This window comes from Homo sapiens, chromosome 5 (assembly GCF_000001405.40).
Source record: "Homo sapiens chromosome 5, GRCh38.p14 Primary Assembly".
Classification (NCBI taxonomy): domain Eukaryota; kingdom Metazoa; phylum Chordata; class Mammalia; order Primates; family Hominidae; genus Homo; species Homo sapiens.
The window spans coordinates 78,701,123-78,721,899 of NC_000005.10; the positions used below are offsets into that span (position 1 = coordinate 78,701,123).

The window sequence follows — 20,777 nt, forward strand, 5'->3', positions numbered from 1 at the left end:
TAGGTGATCCACCTGCCTCAGCCTCCCAAAGTGCTGGGATTACAGGCATGAGCCACTGCGCCCAGCCTAGAGACAATTTTGAATGGCCTATATGCTACAACTTCCTGTTCATGAGTTCTTCAGCAGCTTTACTCTCCAGAGCCTGGGGAGGAATTCCACCTAGCTAGAGCACATCAAGACTATATTAAGGTCTCCTGATTTTCTTTTTAATTTTTAAAAATTTTTCTATTTTTTTGAGATGGAGTATCACTCTGTCACCCAGGCTGGAGTGCGGTGGTACAATCTTGGTTCACTGCAACCTCCACCTCCCTGGTTCAAGCAATTCTCCTGCCTCAGCCTCCCGAGTAGCTGGGATTACAGGCACTCACCACCACACCCATCTAATTTTCGCATTTTTAGTGGAGACGGGGTTTCCCCATGTTGACCAGGCTGGTCTCAAACTTCTGACCTCAAGTGATCTGCCCACCTCAGCCTCCCAAAATACTGGGATTACAGGCGTGAGCCACCGTACCCAGCCAGGTATCCTGATTTTCTATCCAAAGTTCTCTTTCTGTTACACCATATCCTATTTTTTAGAGTTGAAATTAAAGACATACTTGTCATCAGCGGTTCAGTAGGGCATTTAGCAGGTCAATCTCCTAGCTCTTATTGTCATGAATAGGCAGATGATAACTCTGAAGGTCTTTGCCAATAGCTGTTAGCAGTCTTTATTTCCATAATCATAGACTGAGACAATAAACTCACTTGCAAGGCAATGTCTAATACCTTTAGTAACAACACTAAGATTGGGTACATCGCCAAGAGCTCCCAACATTTCTAGATCTATTCAAAATCAATGGCTTTCTTTGCAAAGCACAAAGGCAAACACCAAACCATCCAAAATCAATACAGAAGAGTGATAGATAGGGAAATAGGACTGGGTAGCACAAAGGATAAAGAAATAACAAAGCCAAAGGTTATGGAGTGATTGCTTTCTAATTTGTCTTTATAAAAAGAAAAAAGAATCAAATGAGAAATTGGCAAGTTACTGAGTGAAAATGTCAGAAACGTTTTATATTCTAGGGTTTTGCCACATACTGTCTTGCACAATGTTAAAGGAAGTGAAGTTGAAATTGAGAATATTTTCACAAGTCTGAGCCAGCCAGGAAGCCAGGGGAAAATACTCTTAAATTTGGGAAAATTACAGGCCTGCTATTTGACATTAGTTGGAGAAAAACATCAAACCTCAGAACTTATTCTGAGAACCTGAACAAGAGACGTACTTTAAGAAGCCCTGTGCCTTGTCCAGGGGAGCGTAGATCCCCCTAGGACTTAGAAACACTATTGGTAAAGGCCTTTAAGGAAGCCTCCAATGAGGGGAAATGGATAAAGGGGGCTCAGATTTCCTTTTTTTTTCTTTTTCTTTTTTTTTTTTTTGAGACAGGGTCTTGCACTGTCGCCCATGCTAGAGTGCAGTGGTATGATCTCAGCTCACTGCAGCCTTGATGGCCTGGGTTCAAGCAATCCTCCTGCCTCAGCCTCCCAAGTAATTGGGACTACAGGTGCACATCACCATGTGCAGCTAATTTTGTTTATTTTTTGTAGAGATGAGGTCTCACTATGTTGCCCAGGCTGGTCTTGAACTCCTGGACACAAGAGATCCTCCTGCCTCAGCCTTCCAAAGTGCTGGGATTGCAGGAGTAAGCCACTGTGCTGGGCCAGGGGCTCACATTTCTACTAAACCATCTTCTGAATGTGCAGAGAACAATGGCATAGAGAACCTGACCCTAAGGACTGGGGCTGGGGAAGAACACATAAGCGAGGTTGGAGAGCCAGGTCTCCCCCTTAGGCATGGGCCCAGAACCACGGTGAAATTAAAAATAAACAAACTTGCCATTTTGAAAAAGAAAAGTGATCAGGGCATAAGCCTTACCAGATAATAAAACATATTATCAAAATATAATAAGAAAAACTGTGTGGTATTTATATATTAATACAAATAGTCATCAAGCACAATGAAACAGCCTAAACATTTTTCACTCTGTTGCCCAGGATGGCTTGATGTGATCCTCCTGCCTCAGAAATGCCATTTCTGAATATAAAACAGAAAATTCAGTATAGAGTCAGCTGGCTTTCAAATCAGTAGGGAAAAATTATCATTTTAAAAATTATATTGAGACAACTGGGTAACCATCCAAACAAAATAAATTCTAGATAGTTGAAACTGTAAAAGAACCATACAATTACTAGAAGAAACAAAGGACACTTTTATTTTTTGTAATCTAGTAGTATAGAGATATAAGACTCAGAAACTATAAAAGACAAGACTGACAAACTTGTCTTTTATGAACATGAAAAGAAAAAATTTCTGCATGGCAACCCCTCTGCATAAGCAGAATCAGAAGAAAAGGCACTGGGAAAAAATGTGCAGTTCAAAATAGAAATAAAGGAGAAAATCCTTTAATGTATAAAGAGCTCCTACAAATCATTAAGAAAAAGACCAATAACCCATGATCACCCTTATACAAAATATAAGAAATACAAATTAAAACTATCATAATAATATAATAAAATATAATTAAGTACTATCTTCTCTTGTTAAACTGGCACAGATGAAAAATCAGATAGGGGCTCCAGAGACAGGTACTGTGTTATTGTTAGTAGAAGTGTGAATATATCCAACTTTCTGGAAGGCAGTTTGGAAAACACCTATCCAAATTATAATTGCACCATCACTTAGGTCCAGAAATTTCACTGTTAGGAATGTAATGTACAGATACTCTTGCACACATGTGAAATAAACTATGTATAAGGGTGTTCTTTATCCCACTATTTATTAATAGGAAAGATTGAACAACTAACTGTGTGAATGGAGTGGTGGTTAAATAAATTTTATTACAGGCTTGGTGGCCCACACCTGTAAGCCCAGCACTTTGGGAGGCCAAGGCAGAAGGATGGCCTCAGGCCAGCCTGGGCAACAGAGCGAAGAATGTTCAGAATTCTAGGCCTGGGTTTGATTCCAGCTCTGCCACTTACTAGCTTGATATCCTGAATGATTATTTAATTTCTCTGAGCCTCTTATTTCTCATCTGTAAAATGGGAATAATAATATGACCTACTACATATGAGTATTGGGAGGATTAAGTGACATAATCCATGTGAAGATCTTAGTCTTGCTCAGAAAATATTGGTTTTCTTTCTTTTCCACCTCTTTATTAAGGAATCACTGGTGTTGTTCGCTACTGAAAGTAAATATAATTAAATTATAAATTATAAAGTAAATATAATCAAATCATGACTGGGAGCCAAGTGTGGTGGCTCACACCTGTAATCCCAGCACTTTGGGAGGCCAAGGCAAGTGGATCACTTGAGGCCAGGAGTTTGAGACCAACCTGGCCAACATGGTGAAACCTGTCTCTACCAAAAAAATACAAAAATTAGCCAGCGTGGTGTTACGTGCCTGTAGTCCCAGCTAACCGGGAGGCTAAGACAAGAGAATCATTTGAACACAGGAGGCAGAGGTTGCAGTGAGCCGAGAGTACCACTGCACTCCAGCCTGGGCAACAGAGCAAGACTCTTGTCTAAAAAAAAAAAAAAAAAAAATATATATATATATATATATAAAATATATATGTGATAAATATATACAAAATATATATTATATGTGATAAATATATACAAAATATATATTATATGTGATAAATATATACAAAATATATATTATATGTGATAAATATATATAAAATATATATTATATGTGATAAATATATATAAAATATATATTATATATGATATTATTATACATTATATGTTATATATATAATATATAACATATATATGTTATATATGTGATAGATGTGTTATATATAATATATATGTGATATATGTGTTATATATAATCAAATCAGTGTAATCCTTGCACGCGTTCAAGAAAACACAGAACAATAAAGTTAGGTGAATTAGAAACAGATCCCAGAATTTTAAAGTGTTTAATGAATCTCATAGCAGGTTCTACAAATTAGTGGGGCAGGTAAGTATTAATTAAGATATAACACTGGGATCTTTGGTTAACCATGTGAATATAAATCAATTTAGTATTCTCACCTCATACCATATACAGCATAAATTTCAGATTAAGTAAAGAATTAAGTGTTTAAATTTTTTTTATTTTTAAGTAATATAAACTCACAGGAAGTTGAAAAGATAGTACAGAGTTCTGTGTACTCTTTGCCCATCTTCCCTTAAAGATAACATCTTCTGTAGCTGCCATATCAAATATCAAAACCAGGAAATGGATCATTATCATTAATTCGAGTACACACTGTGGCCAGTGCGGTGGCTCATGCCTGTAATCCCAGCACTTTGGGAGGCCGAGATGGGCAGATCACTTGAGGTCAGGAGTTCAAGACCAGTCTGGGCAACATGATGAAACCCTGTCTCTACTAAAAATGCAAAAATTAGCTAGGCATGGTGGCGGGCTCCTGTAATCCCAGCTACTCAGGAGGCTGAGGCACGAGAATCGCTTGAACCCAGGAGGTGGAGGTTGTAGCAAGCCAAGGTCGCACCATTGCACTCCAGCCTAGGTGACAGAGCGAGACTCCGTCTCAAAAAAAAAAAAAAAAGAAAAGTACACATTTTGCTTTTTTTCACTGTTTTAAAAATCATGATTTGCGTATGTGTATATGTGTAGTCCTATGCAATTTTATAAGTAAACTTCACTTATTACTTATTTATCTATTCATTTGTTTAAAGGAACTTTATTTTTTTTTTCAGAGCAGTTTTAGGTTCAGAGCAAAATTGAGTGAAAGATACAGAGATTTCCCATATACCTCCTGCCCCGACACAGGCAACATTCCTTACTAGAGTAGCACATCTGTCACAACTGGTTAACCAACCTTGACACATCATTATTACCCAAAATTTGTAGTGTGGGTTTGGACAAACGTGTAGTGACACGGATTCCCCATTATGCCATCATGCAGAGCAGTTTCACTGTCCTAAAAATTTTCTGTGTTCTACCTATTCATTGTTTCTCCTGATCCCTAATCCCTGGCAACCACTGATCTTTTTACAGTCTCCCTAGTTTTGCCTTTTCTACAATAGAATGTCATATAGTTGGAATCATACAGTTTGCAGCCTTTTCAGATTAGCTTCCTTCACTTAGTGATAGGTATTTGTTTCCTCCATGTCTTTTCATAGCTTGATAGCTCGTTTCTTTTTAGTACTGAATGATAGTCCATTGTCTGGTTGTACCACAGTTTATTTATCCATTCACTTGCTGAAGGACATCTTGGCTACCCCCAAGTTTTATGAAAAAAGCTGCTGTAAACATTTATGTGCAGGTTTTTGTATAGACATAAGTTTTGTTCCATGCAACTTTATCCCATTAACAGATCGGTGTAACCACTACCACAAACAAGCTTAAGAACTGTTGCATCACCACAAAAAGACTCCATCATGCTACCTCTTTGTATTTGCATTCACTTCTACCCCTGCTTCCCACTCCTTGCTACTCCCAACCTCCAACACACATACATTCCTGTCCCCTGACAGCCACTAACTATTCTCCATATTAAAGTTTTGTCATTTCAAAAACGTTATGTAATTGAGATCACACAACATGTAACCTTTTGAGACTGTCTCCTTTCACTAAAAATAATACCCTTGAAGTCCATCTAAATTGTTATACGCATCAATAGGTGATTCCTTTTTATTGCCGATGAATATTCTATTTTATGCTTATACCTGAGTTTGTTCAGCCATTCACCAATTGAATGACATTTGGGCTGTTTCCAGTATTTTGCTATTATGAATAAATCTGTTATGAAAACTCACACACAGCCTTTCATGTGAATGTTTTTATTTCTCTAGGACAAAAATTCCAAGAATACAATTGCTGGGTAATATCGTAATGCTCACTTCGGGAAGAAACTACCAAACTATTTTCCAGAATGATTATATCATTTTACATTCTCCCAAACAATGTATGAAAGATCATTTCTCCACATCCTCTCCAGCACTTGGTATTATTTTCTTACATTTTTTATGTCAGCTGCTTCTATAGTTGCGTTAGGAGTTAAATGTTTTAAAAATCTCAAATCTCCAGAAGAAAACTAGAAGAAAACGTGGGTGAAAATTTTCTGATTTCTGGCAGGGGAATTACTTTCTAAAGTTAACAGTTTCAACCAGATGAAACTTTAAAATTTCTAATGCCCCAAAACATCACTGACAACAACAAATATAAGCAACAAATTGGGGAGAAACATCCATGAAAAATCAACCCTGCATTACTGAGACTCCTAAGCCAGGCACCCAGAAACCTACCCTGTTTCTGTGACCCAAGTTCAGCTTGTCTTCGAGAAATTATAGTAGGTGAAAAATTTAAGTTATTGATACAAATTGCAAAAGGCTTTACAGAAATGTTTTATCAGTGTTTGACCTATCAGTAACATATGAAAGTGACTATGAAAATGGCTTTTTAAAGATATATTCTTTTTTTTTTTTTTTTTTTTTGAGACAGGATCTCACCCTGTCGCCCAGGCTGGAGTGAGGTGGTGTGGTCACTGCTCACTGCAGCCTTGACTTCCCAGGTTCGAGGAATCCTCCCACTTTAGCCTCTTGAATAGGTGGGACCACAGATGCATGCCACTATGCCCAGCTAATTTTTTTATTTTTCATGGAGATGGGGTTTGCCATGTTGGCCAGGCTGGTCTTGAACTCCTGGGCTCAAGTGATCCTCCTGCCTTGTCCTCCCAGAGAGCTGGGATTACAGGCATGAGCTACTCTGCCAGCCCAAGATACATTTTTTGAAAAACCAACCCTGGATCTTAATAAATGAGAAAAGGACAGGAAAAAAAAAACCCACAAATGGAATAAAAATTTTAAAACATGAGAAAAATATTGTAAATCATTAAAAATTAAAATTCAAAATTACCTAGGAAAAACATACTTATTAAAATATCAAAAACAGATCATGTATAATACTCAGTCTCACTGGGAGTGGGACGAGGCCAACATTCTTATGCATTGTTCCCTTCTACTGGTTTCCATCTTCCCTGGTCTTATTCCCCTGGTTCCTCACTCCTGCTCTTGGGTATCACTCCCAAGTAAACGACCTGATATGACCTTTGTCTCAGATTCTGCCTGTAAGAGAACCAAGCCATGAGAGTTGGTAACAGTGGTTTTAAAACTCAGACTCTCAGGATGGGATTTTGGAGTACAGTGGTGATAACCTGGGCAGGCAGTAACATCACAATCACCAAGACTGTCACCTGCACAGGTACAGGTAGAAGGTGACACACTGGGTTATGTGACAACTTTGACACTTGAATGGAGTTGAGCCAATAAAATTACAAAGATTTGGGAACTGGTCAGATTTTGTTAACTCTTTGGAAGTCTTGACAAACAAATGATTCAGGTTAGCTAAGTGTCAACTGAGGTATGATGTGAAAGCCAGAGGCCTCTAGCCATTGTAGGGTAGAATGTGGTTAAAATCAGTCCCAGGAACCGATTATAAGGGTGACAGAACTGCAAAGGACAGTTAACTCATGGCTTCAACAAGTCTTTTTTTTTTTTTTTTTTTAACAAATAGGACTTTTTATGTGCCACTATTATAAGTCTGAACTATAAATAGATTCTTGGAACTGGTGGTTCATATCCATCAGCTGGTTCAACTTTAGCACCTGTCTCGTCCCCAGTGGCTTTTCCAGAACTACTGCATTCACCATGAAGCTCCATGAGTTTTCCCAATTCAAACTTGGGCTTCTTCAGCATTTTTAGTCTTCTAACGAAGACATCATGGAGAGGATAAATAGATTGGCAAGCCTTTTCTGTGTCTTTTCAATGCTGTCTGGAATCAATTTATTGACCACTTCTTTCAAGTCATTTCTCTGCACTTATCAGGTCATGATTTCCAAATCTTCTTCCGGATTTGGTAGACCTGTTAATGCTGAGCATAACAGGTCTTCTATATCTGATTGTTGTGGTATTGTTTTTTTTTTTAGTAAAATCAATGCAGAACAGACAAAGCAAGTAACCATTGGTAGTTTTTTTTTGAGATGGAGTCTTACTCTGTCAACCAGGCTGGAGTACAGCAGCATGATTTCGGCTCACTGCAACCTCTGCCTCCCAGGTTCAAGCAATTCTCCTGCCTCAGCCTCTTGAGTAGCTGGGCTTACAGGTGACCACCACCACACCTGGCTAATGTTTGTATTTTTAGTAGAGATGGGGTTTCACCATGTTGATCAGGCTGTTCTCAAACTCCTGACCTCAGGTGATCCACCTGCCTTGGCCTCCCAAAGTGCTGGGATTATAGGCATGAGCCACCGCGCAGTGGTAGTCTTGACATGGACATGACCTTCAATCATTGTCTGCCATTTTTTTGACCATGAAGCACATTTTGTCATGGGTAAGATCCATGGCATGGAAGTTATGCAGTTTTTGCCCAAATATCTTCAAAAATCAGCTTAAATTTTCTAAATGCAACTTCACTATTCTGCAAATCAGCAGGACTCACTTCAAACATGTGACCCTTGAGGCCATCAGATGCAGTTTTGGTTCCTTGGGTCCTGGTGACTAGGGTCTTTCCAATATTTCTTATATTGAACACAGCAGGGGCTTTCACATCATGCCAATCTTTCTTAGAAAATGGATCAACTGGGGTGGAGCCAAGATGGCCAAATAGGAAAAGCTCCAGTCTACAGCTCCCAGTGTGAGCGACACAGAAGACGGGTGATTTCTGCATTTCCAACTGAGGTACCAGGTTCATCTCAGTGGGGAGTGCCAGACAGTGGGTGTAGGACAGTGGGTGCAGCACACCGTGCATGAGCCGAAGCAGGGCGAGGCATTGCCACACCCGGGAAGCGCAAGGGTCAGGGAATTCCCTTTCCTAGTCAAAGAAAGGGGTGACAGATGGCACCTGGAAAATCAGGTCACTCCCACCCTAATACTGCGCTTTTCCAATGGGCTTAACAAACGGCACACCAGGAGATTATATCCTGCACATGGCTAGGAGGGTCCTACACCCACAGAGCCTCGCTCATTGCTAGCACAGCAGTCCGAGATCAAACTGCAAGGCAGCAGCGCAGCTGGGGGAGGCGCCCGCCATTGCCCAGGCTTGAGTAGGTAAACAAAGCGGCCGGGAAGCTCGAACTGGGTGGAGCCCACCACAGCTCAAGGAGGCCTGCCTGCCTCTGTAGGCTCCACCTCTGGGGGCAGGGCACAAACAAAAGGCAGCAGTAACCTCTGCAGACTTAAATGTCCCTGTCTCACAGCTTTGAAGAGAGTAGTGGTTCTCCCAGCATGCAGCTTGAGATCTGAGAACGGGCAAACCACCTCCTCAAGTGGGTCCCTGACCCCCGAGTAGCCTAAATGGGAGGCACCCCCCAGTAGGGGCGGACTGACACCTCACACGGCCGGGTACTCCTCTGAGACAAAACTTCCAGAGGAACGATCAGGCAGCAGCATTTGTGGTTCACCAATACCCGCTGTTCTGCAGCCACTGCTGCTGATACCCAGGCAAACGGGGTCTGGAGTGGACCTCCAGCAAACTCCAACAGACCTGCAGCTGAGAGTCCTGACTGTTAGAAGGAAAACTAACAAACAGAAAGGACATCCACACCAAAACCCCATCTATACGTCACCATCATCAAAGACCAAAAGTAGATAAAACCACAAAGATGGGGAAAAAACAGAGCAGAAAAAATGGAAACTCTAAAAATCAGAGCGCCTCTCCTCCTCCAAAGGAATGCAGCTCCTCACCAGCAACGGAACAAAGCTGGATGGAGAATGAATTTGATGAGTTGAGAGAAGAAGGCTTCAGAAGATCAAACTACTCCGAGCTAAAGGAGGAAGTTTGAACCAATGGTGAAGTTAAAAACCTTGAAAAAAAATTAGATGAATGGCTAACTAGAATAACCAATGCAGAGAAGTCCTTAAAGGACCTGATGGAGCTGAAAACCACAGCACAAGAACTATGTGATGAAAGTACAAGCCTCAGTAGCCTATGCAATCAACTGGAAGAAAGGCTATCAGTGATGGAAGATGAAATGAATGAAATGAAGTGAGAAGAGAAGTTTAGAGAAAAAAGAATAAAAAGAAACGAACAAAGCCTCCATCAAATATGGGACTATGTGAAAAGACCAAATCTACGTCTGATTGGTGTACCTGAAAGTGATGGGGAGAATGGAACCAAGTTGGAAAACACTCTGCAGGATATTATCCAGGAGAACTTCCCCAATCTAGCAAAGCAGGCCAACATTTAAATTCAGGAAATACAGAGAATGCTACAAAGATACTCCTCGAGAAGAGCAACTCCAAGACACACAATTGTCAGATTCACCAAAGTTGAAATGAAGGAAAAAGTGTTAAGGGCAGCCAGAGAGAAAGGTCGGCTTACCCACAAAGGGAAGCCGATAAGACTAACAGCTGATCTCTCAGCAGAAACTCTACAAGCCAGAAGAGGGTGGGGCCCGATATTGGACATTCTTAAAGAAAAGAATTTTCAACCCAGACTTTCATATCCAGCCAAACTAAGCTTCATAAGTAAAGGAGAAATAAAATACTTTACAGACAAGCAAATGCTGAGATATTTTGTCACCACCAGGCCTGCCCTAAAAGAGCTCCTAAAGGAAGCACTAAACATGGAAAGGAACAACTGGTACCAGCCACTGCAAAAACATGCCAAATTGTAAAGACCATCAAGGCTAGGAAGAAGCTGCATCAACTAACAAGCAAAATAACCAGCTAACATTATAATCACAGGATCAAATTCACACATAACAATATTAACCTTAAATGTAAATGGGCTAAATGCTCCAATTAAAAGACACAGACTGGCAAATTGGATAAAGAGTCAAGACCCAACAGGGTGCCATATTGAGGAGATCCATCTCATGTGCAGAGACACACATAGGCTCAAAATAAAGGGATGGAGGAAGATCTACCAAGCAAATGGAAAACAAAAAAAGGCAGGGGTTGCAATCCTAGTCTCTGATAAAACAGACTTTAAACCAACAAAGATCAAAAGAGACAAAGAAGGCCATTACATAATGGTAAAGGGATCAATTCAACAAGAAGAGTTAACCATCCTAAATATATATGCACCCAATACAGGAGCACCCAGATTCATAAAGCAAGTCCTGAGTGACCTACAAAGAGACTTAGACTCCCACACAATAATAATGGGAGACTTTAACACCACACTGTCAACATTAGACAGATCAATGAGACAGAAAGTTAACAAGGATATCCAGGAATTGAACTCAGCTCTGCACCAAGCAGACCTAATAGACATCTACAGAACTCTCCACCCCAAATCAACAGAATATACATTCTTTTCAGCACCACACCATACCTATTCCAAAACTGACCACATAGTTGGAAGTAAAGCACTCCTCAGCAAATGTAAAAGAACAGAAATTATTACAAACGTCTCTCAGACCACAGTGCAATCAAACTAGAACTCAGGATTAAGAAACTCACTCAAAACTGCTCAACGACATGGAAATTGAACAACCTGCTCCTGAATGACTACTGGGTACATAACGAAATGAAGGCAGAAATAAAGATGTTCTTTGAAACCAACGAGAACAAAGACACAACATACCAGAATCTCTGGGACACATTCAAAGCAGTGTGTAGAGGGAAGTTTATAGCAGTAAATGTCCACAAGAGAAAGCAGGAAAGATCTAAAATTGACACCCTAACATCACAATTAAAAGAACTAGAGAAGCAAGAGCAAACACATTCAAAAGCTAGCAGAAGGCAAGAAATAACTAAGATCAGAGCAGAACTGAAGGAAATAGAGACACAAAATACCCTTCAAAAAATCAATGCATCCAGGAGCTGGTTTTTTGAAAGGACCAACAAAATTGATAGACCTCTAGCAAGACTAATAAAGAAGAAAAGAGAGAAGAATCAAATAGATGCAATAAAAAATGATAAAGGGGATATCACCACTGATCCCACAGAAATACAAACTACCATCAGAGAATACTATAAACACCTCTACGCAAATAAACTAGAAAATCTAGAAGAAATGGATAAATTCCTCGACACATACACCCTCCCAAGACTAAACCAGGAAGAAGTTGAATCTCTGAATAGACCAATAACAGGCGCTGAAATTGAGGCAATAATTAATAGCTTACCAACCAAAAAAAGTCCAGGACCAGATGGATTCACAGCCGAATTCTACCAGAGGTACAAGGAGGAGCTGGTACCATTCCTTCTGAAACTATTCCAATCAATAGAAAAAGAGGGAAGCCTCCCTAACTCATTTCATGAGGCCAGCATTATCCTGATACCAAAGCCTGGCAGAGACACAACCAAAACAGAGAATTTTAGACCAATATCCTTGATGAACATTGATGCAAAAATCCTCAATAAAATACTGGGAAGCCAAATCCAGCAGCACATCAAAAAGCTTATCCACCACGATCAAGTGGGCTTCATCCCTGGGATGCAAGGCTGGTTCAACATACGCAAATCAATAAACGTAATCCAGCATATAAACAGAACCAAACACAAAAACCACATGATTATCTCAATAGATGCAGAAAAGGCCTTTGACAAAATTCAACAACCTTCATGCTAAAAACTCTCAATAAATTAGGTATTGATGGGACATATCTCAAAATAATAAGAGCTATCTATGACAAACCCACAGCCAACATTATACTGAATGGGCAAAAACTGAAAGCATTCCCTTTGAAAACTGGCACAAGACAGGGATGCCCTCTCTCACCACTCCTATTCAACATAGGGTTGGAAGTTCTGGCCAGGGAAATCCGGCAGGAGAAGGAAATAAAGGGCATTCAATTAGGAAAAGAGGAAGTCAAATTGTCCCTGTTTGCAGAGACATGATTGTATATCTAGAAAACCCCATCGTCTCAGCCCCAAATCTCCTTAAGCTGATAAGCAACTTCAGCAAAGTCTCAGGATACAAAATCAATGTACAAAAATCACAAGCATTCTTATACACCAATAACAGACAAACAGAGAGCCAAATCATGAGTGAACTCCCATTCACAATTGCTTCAAAGAGAATAAAATACCTAGGAATCCAACTTACAAGGGATGTGAAGGACCTCTTCAAGGAGAACTACAAACCACTGCTCAATGAAATAAAAGAGGATAGAAACAAATGGAAGAACATTCCATGCTCATGTATAGGAAGAATCAATATCGTGAAAATGGCCATACTGCCCAAGGTAATTTGTAGATTCAATGCCATCCCCATCAAGCTACCAATGACTTTCTTCACAGAATTGGAAAAAACTACTTTCAAGTTCATATGGAACCAAAAAAGAGCCCTCATTGCCAAGTCAATCCTAAGCCAAAAGAACAAAGCTGGAGGCATCACGCTACCTGACTTCAAACTATACTACAAGGCTACAGTAACCAAAACAGCATGGTACTGGTACCAAAACAGAGATATAGACTAATGGAACAGAACAGAGACCTCAGAAATAATGCCGCATATCTCCAACTATCTGATCTTTGGCAAACCTGAGAAAAACAAGCAATGGGGAAAGGATTCCCTATTTAATAAATGGTGCTGGGAAAACTGGCTAGCCATATGTAGAAAGCTGAAACCAGATCCCTTCCTTACATCTTATACAAATATTAACTCAAGATGGATTAAAGACTTAAATGTTAGACCTAAAACCATAAAAACCCTAGAAGAAAACCTAGGCAATACCATTCAGGACATAGGCATGGGCAAGGACTTCATGTCCAAAACACCAAAAGCAATGGCAACAAAAACCAAAACTGACAAATGGGATCTAATTAAACTAAAGAGCTTCTGCACAAGAAAAGAAATTACCATGAGAGTGAACAGGCAACCTCAGAATGGGAGAAAATTTTTGCAACCTACTCATCTGACAAAGGGCTAATATCCAGAATCTACAATGAACTCAAACAAATTTACAAGAAAAAAGCAAACAACCCCATCAAAAAGTAGGCAAAGGATATGAACAGACACTTCTCAAAAGAAGACATTTATGCAGCCAAAAAACACATGAAAAAATGCTCGGCATCACTGGCCATCAGAGAAATGCAAATCAAAACCACAATGAGATACCATCTCACACCAGTTAGAATGGCGATCATTAAAAAGTCAGGAAACAACAGGTGCTCGAGAGGATGTGGAGAAATAGGAACACTTTTACACTGTTGGTAGGACTGTAAAGTAGTTCATCCATTGTGGAAGTCAGTGTGGCAATTCCTCAGGGATCTAGAACTAGAATACCATTTGACCCAGCCATCCCATTACTGGGTATATACCCAAAGGATTATAAATCATGCTGCTATAAAGACACATGCACACGTATGTTTGTTGCGGCACTATTCACCATAGCAAAGACTTGGAACCAACCCAAATGTCCAACAATGATAGACTGGATTAAGAAAATGTGGCCCATATACACCATGGAATACTATGCAGCCATAAAAAAGGATGAGTTCATGTCCTTTGTAGGGACATGGATGAAGCTGGAAACCATCATTCTCAGCAAACTATTACAAGGACAAAAAACCAAACACCGCATGTTCTCACTCATAGGTAGGAATTGAACAATGAGAACACATGGACACAGGAAGGGGACCATCACACCCTGGGGACTGTTGTGGGGTGGGGGGAGGGGGAGGGATAGCATTAGGAGATATACCTAATGCTAAATGACGAGTTAATGGGTGTAGCACACCAACATGGCACATGTATACATATGTAACAAATCTGCACGTTGTGCACATGTATCCTAAAACTTAAAAGTATAATAATAATAAAATTTTTAAAAAATTTTAAAAAAACAGGACAAGAATGGAGCTCATGTTAAGTGTTCTCATCACAAATTTTAAAAAAAGAAACAAAAAATAAAGTGGCACATGGAAAAAAAAAAGAAAATGGATCCACCACTTTCTTCTTGGCTTCCTTTTTGCTGCCTTTGTAAGGCACCTGTTCTTGCCAACCATCATGGTGCTGCTCAGACAGCCAAAAGGGTGGAAATGCCAACAAGTCTTTTATGGTAAAAGTCAGGGCCCTGATAGAAAAAGAGAGACTCTGAGACTTGATTTAGGGATATTTGGATGCACGAATCTGAGATGCAAGCTCTCATGCTTCTCTGAATTCTCTCCCCTTGCAGACCAGAGCAGATGCCCCTTGCCTGGGAACCCTGCTAAAGCCTCACCTGATTTGTACTCTTCAAGATGACCTTGCCTCTTTTTATTGTCTTCAGACCAATAACGAAGATTATGTCTCAGCACAATCTGAACAGAGAAACACAGCTCCCTGCTCCAAGAGTAAATATCTAACATACCAAAGACATTGCTGGGCTTGGTTAATGTGTCCCAGTAGCAACCAAGGATCACAATGGGGGTGTAGATCTTAAAGGAATAAGATTGTGTGTGTGGATGGGGGGTGGCAAGTGTGTATTACTGGCAAGAGTAGAATATAAATAAGATGGGATAGAGTGCAATTTATTGATATAGGAGCCCTCTCTCATGACTTGAAGTTTAACATCAGGGAAAAGACACCTAGAACCTGTCCTAATAGACGGCTAGAATAGCTCCTTAAAGTTTCTGCTAACAATGGCCCAAAAGAAATGAGGTGAAAACGCTGATATTGCCTCAGCATAGTATTCATGAAGGGTTCAGAAAGTTCAGATATGTGGGAATGTTAGAGTGGATTTATACAAAACCATAGGAGCCACCACTGTGCTATATTCCTCAGGAAGGTGGAGAGAATATTCCTGTCAGTAGAGTAGCAAGGGTACAGGTGAGGGAGGCACTGACATCTTTGAGAAGTCTGATGATGGCCATCCTTGATAGGGACCAGGGTTGATAGCAGGAGATGCTGTCATGGAAATAGGCTCCCCATGGGAATCATACAAACATACTTGAAAATATAATTAGGAACAAGTGACAGTTAAAGTCCCTGCTCACAAGACATGAAGAAAACAGGAGACTCCTGGAGAATTATCTTTCAACACTTGCCTGAAAAACCAAAACCAAGCAAATAAAAAACACCTTTGTGATAAACCTATTTTTGTTTTAAACACTCAACAGAGATCCTTCTGTAGATCTTTTATGGAGATGAAGATTTGACTTTGGTGGTTGTAAATCATCACTATGTTGGGGTTGCTAACTCAGGAGTTTATCCTTTTTATTTTTATTTTTTAGATGGAGTCTTGCTCTGTCACCAGGCTGGAGTTCAATGGTGCGATCTCGGCTCACTGCAACCTCCGCCTCCTGGGTTCCAGTGATTCTCCCGCCTCAGCCTCCCGAGTAGCTGGGACTACAGGCATGTGCCACCACGCCCAGCTAATTTTTGTATTTTTAGTAGAGACGGGGTTTTACCACGTTGGCCAGGATGGGCTCCATCTCTTGACCTCACGATCTGCCTGCCTTGGCCTCCCAAAGTGCTGGGATTACAGGCATGAGCCACCGCACCCGGCCAGGAGTTTATCTTCTCTATGGAGTGAACCTAATGCCAGTCGGGACCAGGATGAGCGTGCTATTTGCAACATTCCTTGTATCCAGCATCCTTTGCCATGTCATTCTATAGATGCTCTCACTAAAGTGATGGCCAATTTCCTTACCCTTCGAATCCGGGCTTTGGCAAATGGGATGTTAACAACAGCTCCCAAACAGAGGATCACATAGTACTTGCGTGAGCCCACTCCCCTCTTATGTTCTTCAAGCATGCCATGAGAACACGCCTGGGTCAGCCTGCTGAAGGAGCTGAGCTGAGTCATCCCGGTGACAGCCAGCTGACTCTTAGCAGTGAGAGGCACCCCCACAAAGCTGCTCTGCTGACCACCCCAGACACACGAGCAAAAGAAATGTTTACCATTACATGTCACTGAGGCTTTGTGGTTATTTATTATGTAGGATTGTTATGGAAAGAGCTATCTGATAGATACCATGAGGCAAATATGTAAGAATGAAAATTACTTTGAACAGGAAGAAGACATGATTACCTTCAGGAGTCGGTTGACCTCTTTTCTGCAGGTGCACAGTTGGAACCTGGAGAGAACGAAGAATACTAGTGGTGGAGTTGAACAATAACAACAACAACAACACCTCATAACCAGTAAGGTAATGGTCTCATCTAACAAATCCCTCTCCCAACACATGAGCATGAAGTGCTCCGGCTGGGCGGGGAGGGGTTTGCTGCTGTGTGTAGCTGCCTTCCTGGCCTCTTGTCCTCACCAGCTCCCTGTTCCCCATCATCCTTCCTATGCAGTCTCAATTCAACAAATATTTACTGACGCCCCATGCTGCCTGCTGTCCTGCTGAGGCGGGAGGAAACCTGTTTCAAGAGGAGCCCTAGTACAGTTCCTGCCCCCTGGCACCAGCTCTTGTTGAAGAGATATTTACACAAGCATACGGAGAGCACTGAACTCGGAGTCTGGTGATCCAGATTCGTGTCCCAGCTCAGCCACTCACAAGCCTGGGGCCCACAGAGAAATTCTATCTCCTGCCCACACCTCAGTTTTCTCCTTTCTAAAGCAAAGATAATAATCCCCAGCTCACACATGTGGGAGAGGATTCACGAGAATGGAAAGACATCGTAGGAGCTGGAAAGGACTCCCAAGGGACAGGGGTGGGTGCCACCAAGACCAGGCACTAAGATGGCCAGAGGACATTAACTCCTGGCTCTTCAAGGGGGAGGGAGTGTGGATGCTCACTCAGGGTGTGGAACCACAGAGTTGGAGGGAACCTAAAATAAGCCTTCCTCCACAGGGAAGAGGGAGACCCAGGCCTGGTGGGCCCTGGCTGCTCCTGCTGGAATTAGACTTTCATGGACTTGGTATTTGACCCAGCCTGAGCGATGTTTCCTTTGAAGCTCTTGTTGGAAGCTTCCACAAGTAGCACAGCCCATTCCCTGCCACCCACCAACTGCAACCACAGACTTAGCTCAATGTGGAATGTCAGAGAGACACAAATATGGCCTTTTGCCTCAGGCTGTTCCCACCTGGGGTGTAACTGCAGGAGCCTGAGGCTTCCTGGGATTTCAGTTGCTTCCCAGAGCTCAAAAATAGTTACCCATGGATCAAAATCAGCATGTGAACAGAGCATCAATCTACTTCAAAACCAAAGCATCTATCTACTTCCAAACTAGATTTGGGCCAGCTATAGTGGCTCACACCTGTAATCTCAGCACTTTGGGAGGCTGAGGTGGGAGGACTGCTTGAGGCCAGGAGTTCAAGACCAGCCTGGGCGACATGGTGAGACTGTCTCTACAAGAAATTAAAAAATTAGCTGGGCATGGTGGTGCACAACTGTAGTCTTAGCTACTTGGGAGGTTGAGGTTGCAGTGAGCTAAGATTGTGCTACTGCACTCCAGCCTGAGCAACAGAGCAAGATCCTGTCAAAAAAAAAAAAAAAAAAGAAAGAAAAAGAAAAAAGAAAAGAAAAGAAAAGAAAAAGAAAAATGATTAAAAAAAAAAAAAAGAAAGAAACAAAAAAACCAAAACAGATCCGGTTTCCAGGGCTCTAATCTTGGAGAGACTAGGCTGGAAAAAAGCTGTAGTCTCATCTATGACCTGAGGGACGACTCTACTGATAGGAAGGGGATGGGTTGTGTAGAACCTGGATAACAGGGACCAGGAAGCAAGACAAGGCCAGCTTTATCCAGGGCCATGCTAGGGAGGGAGAACCTCATTTGAGAGTGGGCATTCTGGGTGTCACAGGCTCCTCCAAGCCCGGATGAGACCCCTCAGGTTGGTCCTGAGTTGATGAAATCCCCTTGCTTCCTTCCCTCTCCATGTTGGAAAATGCACACTCGTCCCTTGGATTCGCTACTTTTGGCCACATGAGCAGCTTCATCTGGTTCTTCCTGACCCAGAAACTCCACACCTTGTGGGTGTCTTGTGGCAGGGTGCCCGGCCCCTCTCCAGGACACTCTGCTGAGGTTCCACACTCATCAAACAGCTTCCAGTAATTCAGTCAGCCTCAGTACCCCACTCCCCAGCTGGAGAGGAGATCCCCTCCTTGGAGGAACAGTTTGCTGACACCCTAAGTGACGCAATTATTCCCAGGAAGGGTTTGGAGAGGCAGCATTTGACAAGACGTGGGGCTTAGAAACCCAGCTGGGGCAGAAAACTCTGAGCCCCAGCAGATCTGCTCAGGTCTGTGACTGGAGTCACACTATAGCAGAAGCAGATCGTGACCCCCTCCCCAGACCCTGGTGGACCCTGAAAGGATTTGGGGAAGACCAAATTTCCTGTACATACCGTTTGTATGGAGAACAGTCCTCTGGCAGTCACAGTTACAGGGACTCAGTCCTAGGTTTTTATCCACTCAGACGGGGGACCTACAAGAGGGTGCCCTTTGCCCTCTAGCACAAAGATGCCTTCGGGCTCACAGCAGCCCCCCTGAGACCTGACCTGGGTGCAGACCTCTCCACTGGCAGCACCAGATCTTTCTTCAGCTCTGTGAGGTGCTTTTTTTTGCAGTTTCTAACATAGCCGTGGCAGCTAAGCAGACACTTGTCTTAAAATCCTCATTGCAGCTCCTCTTGGGTCCCACTGAGAGCCCTTTGGCAAAGCTCGAGAGCTTGCCCACACTATCAGTGTTCAGCCAGGCCCTGCCCTGTGTATAAACAGGAAATCTTAAAGTTCCAATGTGCACCTTCTTCAAGCAATAAAGACTCTTAACAAGCTCCACAGTAAAAGACACTGACCCAGAAAAGCAAACTTCCACAGAGGGGAGGCTGCGTTAATGGAGTCGACCAGTCATTAGTGGCAACCCCATGACTTTAAAGATTTGCACAGATGACCTGGACGGGAAGAATAAAAGCAGGCTTTTCAAAGAGCTGCAGAGTGTGGAAATTCAGGAAGTGTAGCCCACAAGTAGGACATGCCAAGTAATTATTAAGAAGGGAACAAAAGTGAAAAGAAAGAATCACAGGAAAACTCTAGAAGGAATTGAAAGAAACTAAGTTTTGAAAGAAAAAGTGAGTGAAAGAAAAGAAAAACAAATAACAAAAGAAAAATGTGTTCATCTGTCATAGGGGAGAATGATCTTCCTGCGGATCAGAAGCCAACCGGGTTATTGTTAGTAGGTGATTTCCCAGGGATGGCACCCAGCAAACAGCTGCAGGGTGAAGGTAAACAGGACGCTGGGGAGAACGGGAGGATGATACAATTTCATAGGAAGTGCTGTTATTCCTATGTAATATTTACATAAAAATCTCATTTAGGTTCACTGCCTTATTTTCTTGAAAAAGGATGGCAAATTTTCAGCCTCTTCCCGTGAAAGAAATCATACAATGCCCCCTTTAAAATGTCACATATGTCACATTTGAAAATTAACCACAAAAAAAGAAAAAATAATGCCCATATAGAAAAAATACCTTTCTGATTTTGAAACAAGGAGTTCCATTCTCTCTAATGCCAGGCATTTTTTTAATCTGATAATAAATTAGAGACCTTGGGAAGAATATTCACTTTTTTAGGCCACAATAAAAATAGCTACAATAACAACAGTGGTTACTTTTATTTATTCATACATTTTGGAGAGAGAGAGGGCTAATTCCAAAAAAATAACACGGGGAAGAATTCTTATAAGGCATTTACCATAAACAATATTCTCTTTTCTTTACCACCCCCCCGCCAACCCTGACTCAAGACTATTCTCAATGGTTTATGTATATTAACTGTTTTAATCCCAACACTAATTGCATAAGGTAGCTATGATTATCATTTCCTCTTTACAGATGTGGAAAAACACAGCACAGAGAGGCTGAGCAACTTGCTCAAGATACACAACTAGTAAGTGGTGAGGCTCAG

At 41.6% G+C, this 20,777-nt stretch overlaps 1 long non-coding RNA gene across 3 annotated transcripts in view; it reads right to left on the reverse strand.

Moving 5' to 3' along the window:
- Positions 1–20,777, reverse strand: part of LOC124900191 (uncharacterized) — a 115,042-nt gene that overhangs the window by 43,364 nt on the left and 50,901 nt on the right. Inside the window, exons 1-2 of one of the 3 annotated variants that reach the window (XR_007058834.1) lie at positions 19,221–19,516; positions 16,845–17,007 (exon numbers count right to left, since the gene is read on the reverse strand). This is a non-coding gene — a long non-coding RNA (uncharacterized LOC124900191). Of the gene's footprint in view, positions 1–16,844; positions 17,008–19,220; positions 19,517–20,777 lie in introns of those variants that run through there. The other 2 variants (XR_007058832.1, XR_007058830.1) reach the window with 2 other exon arrangements.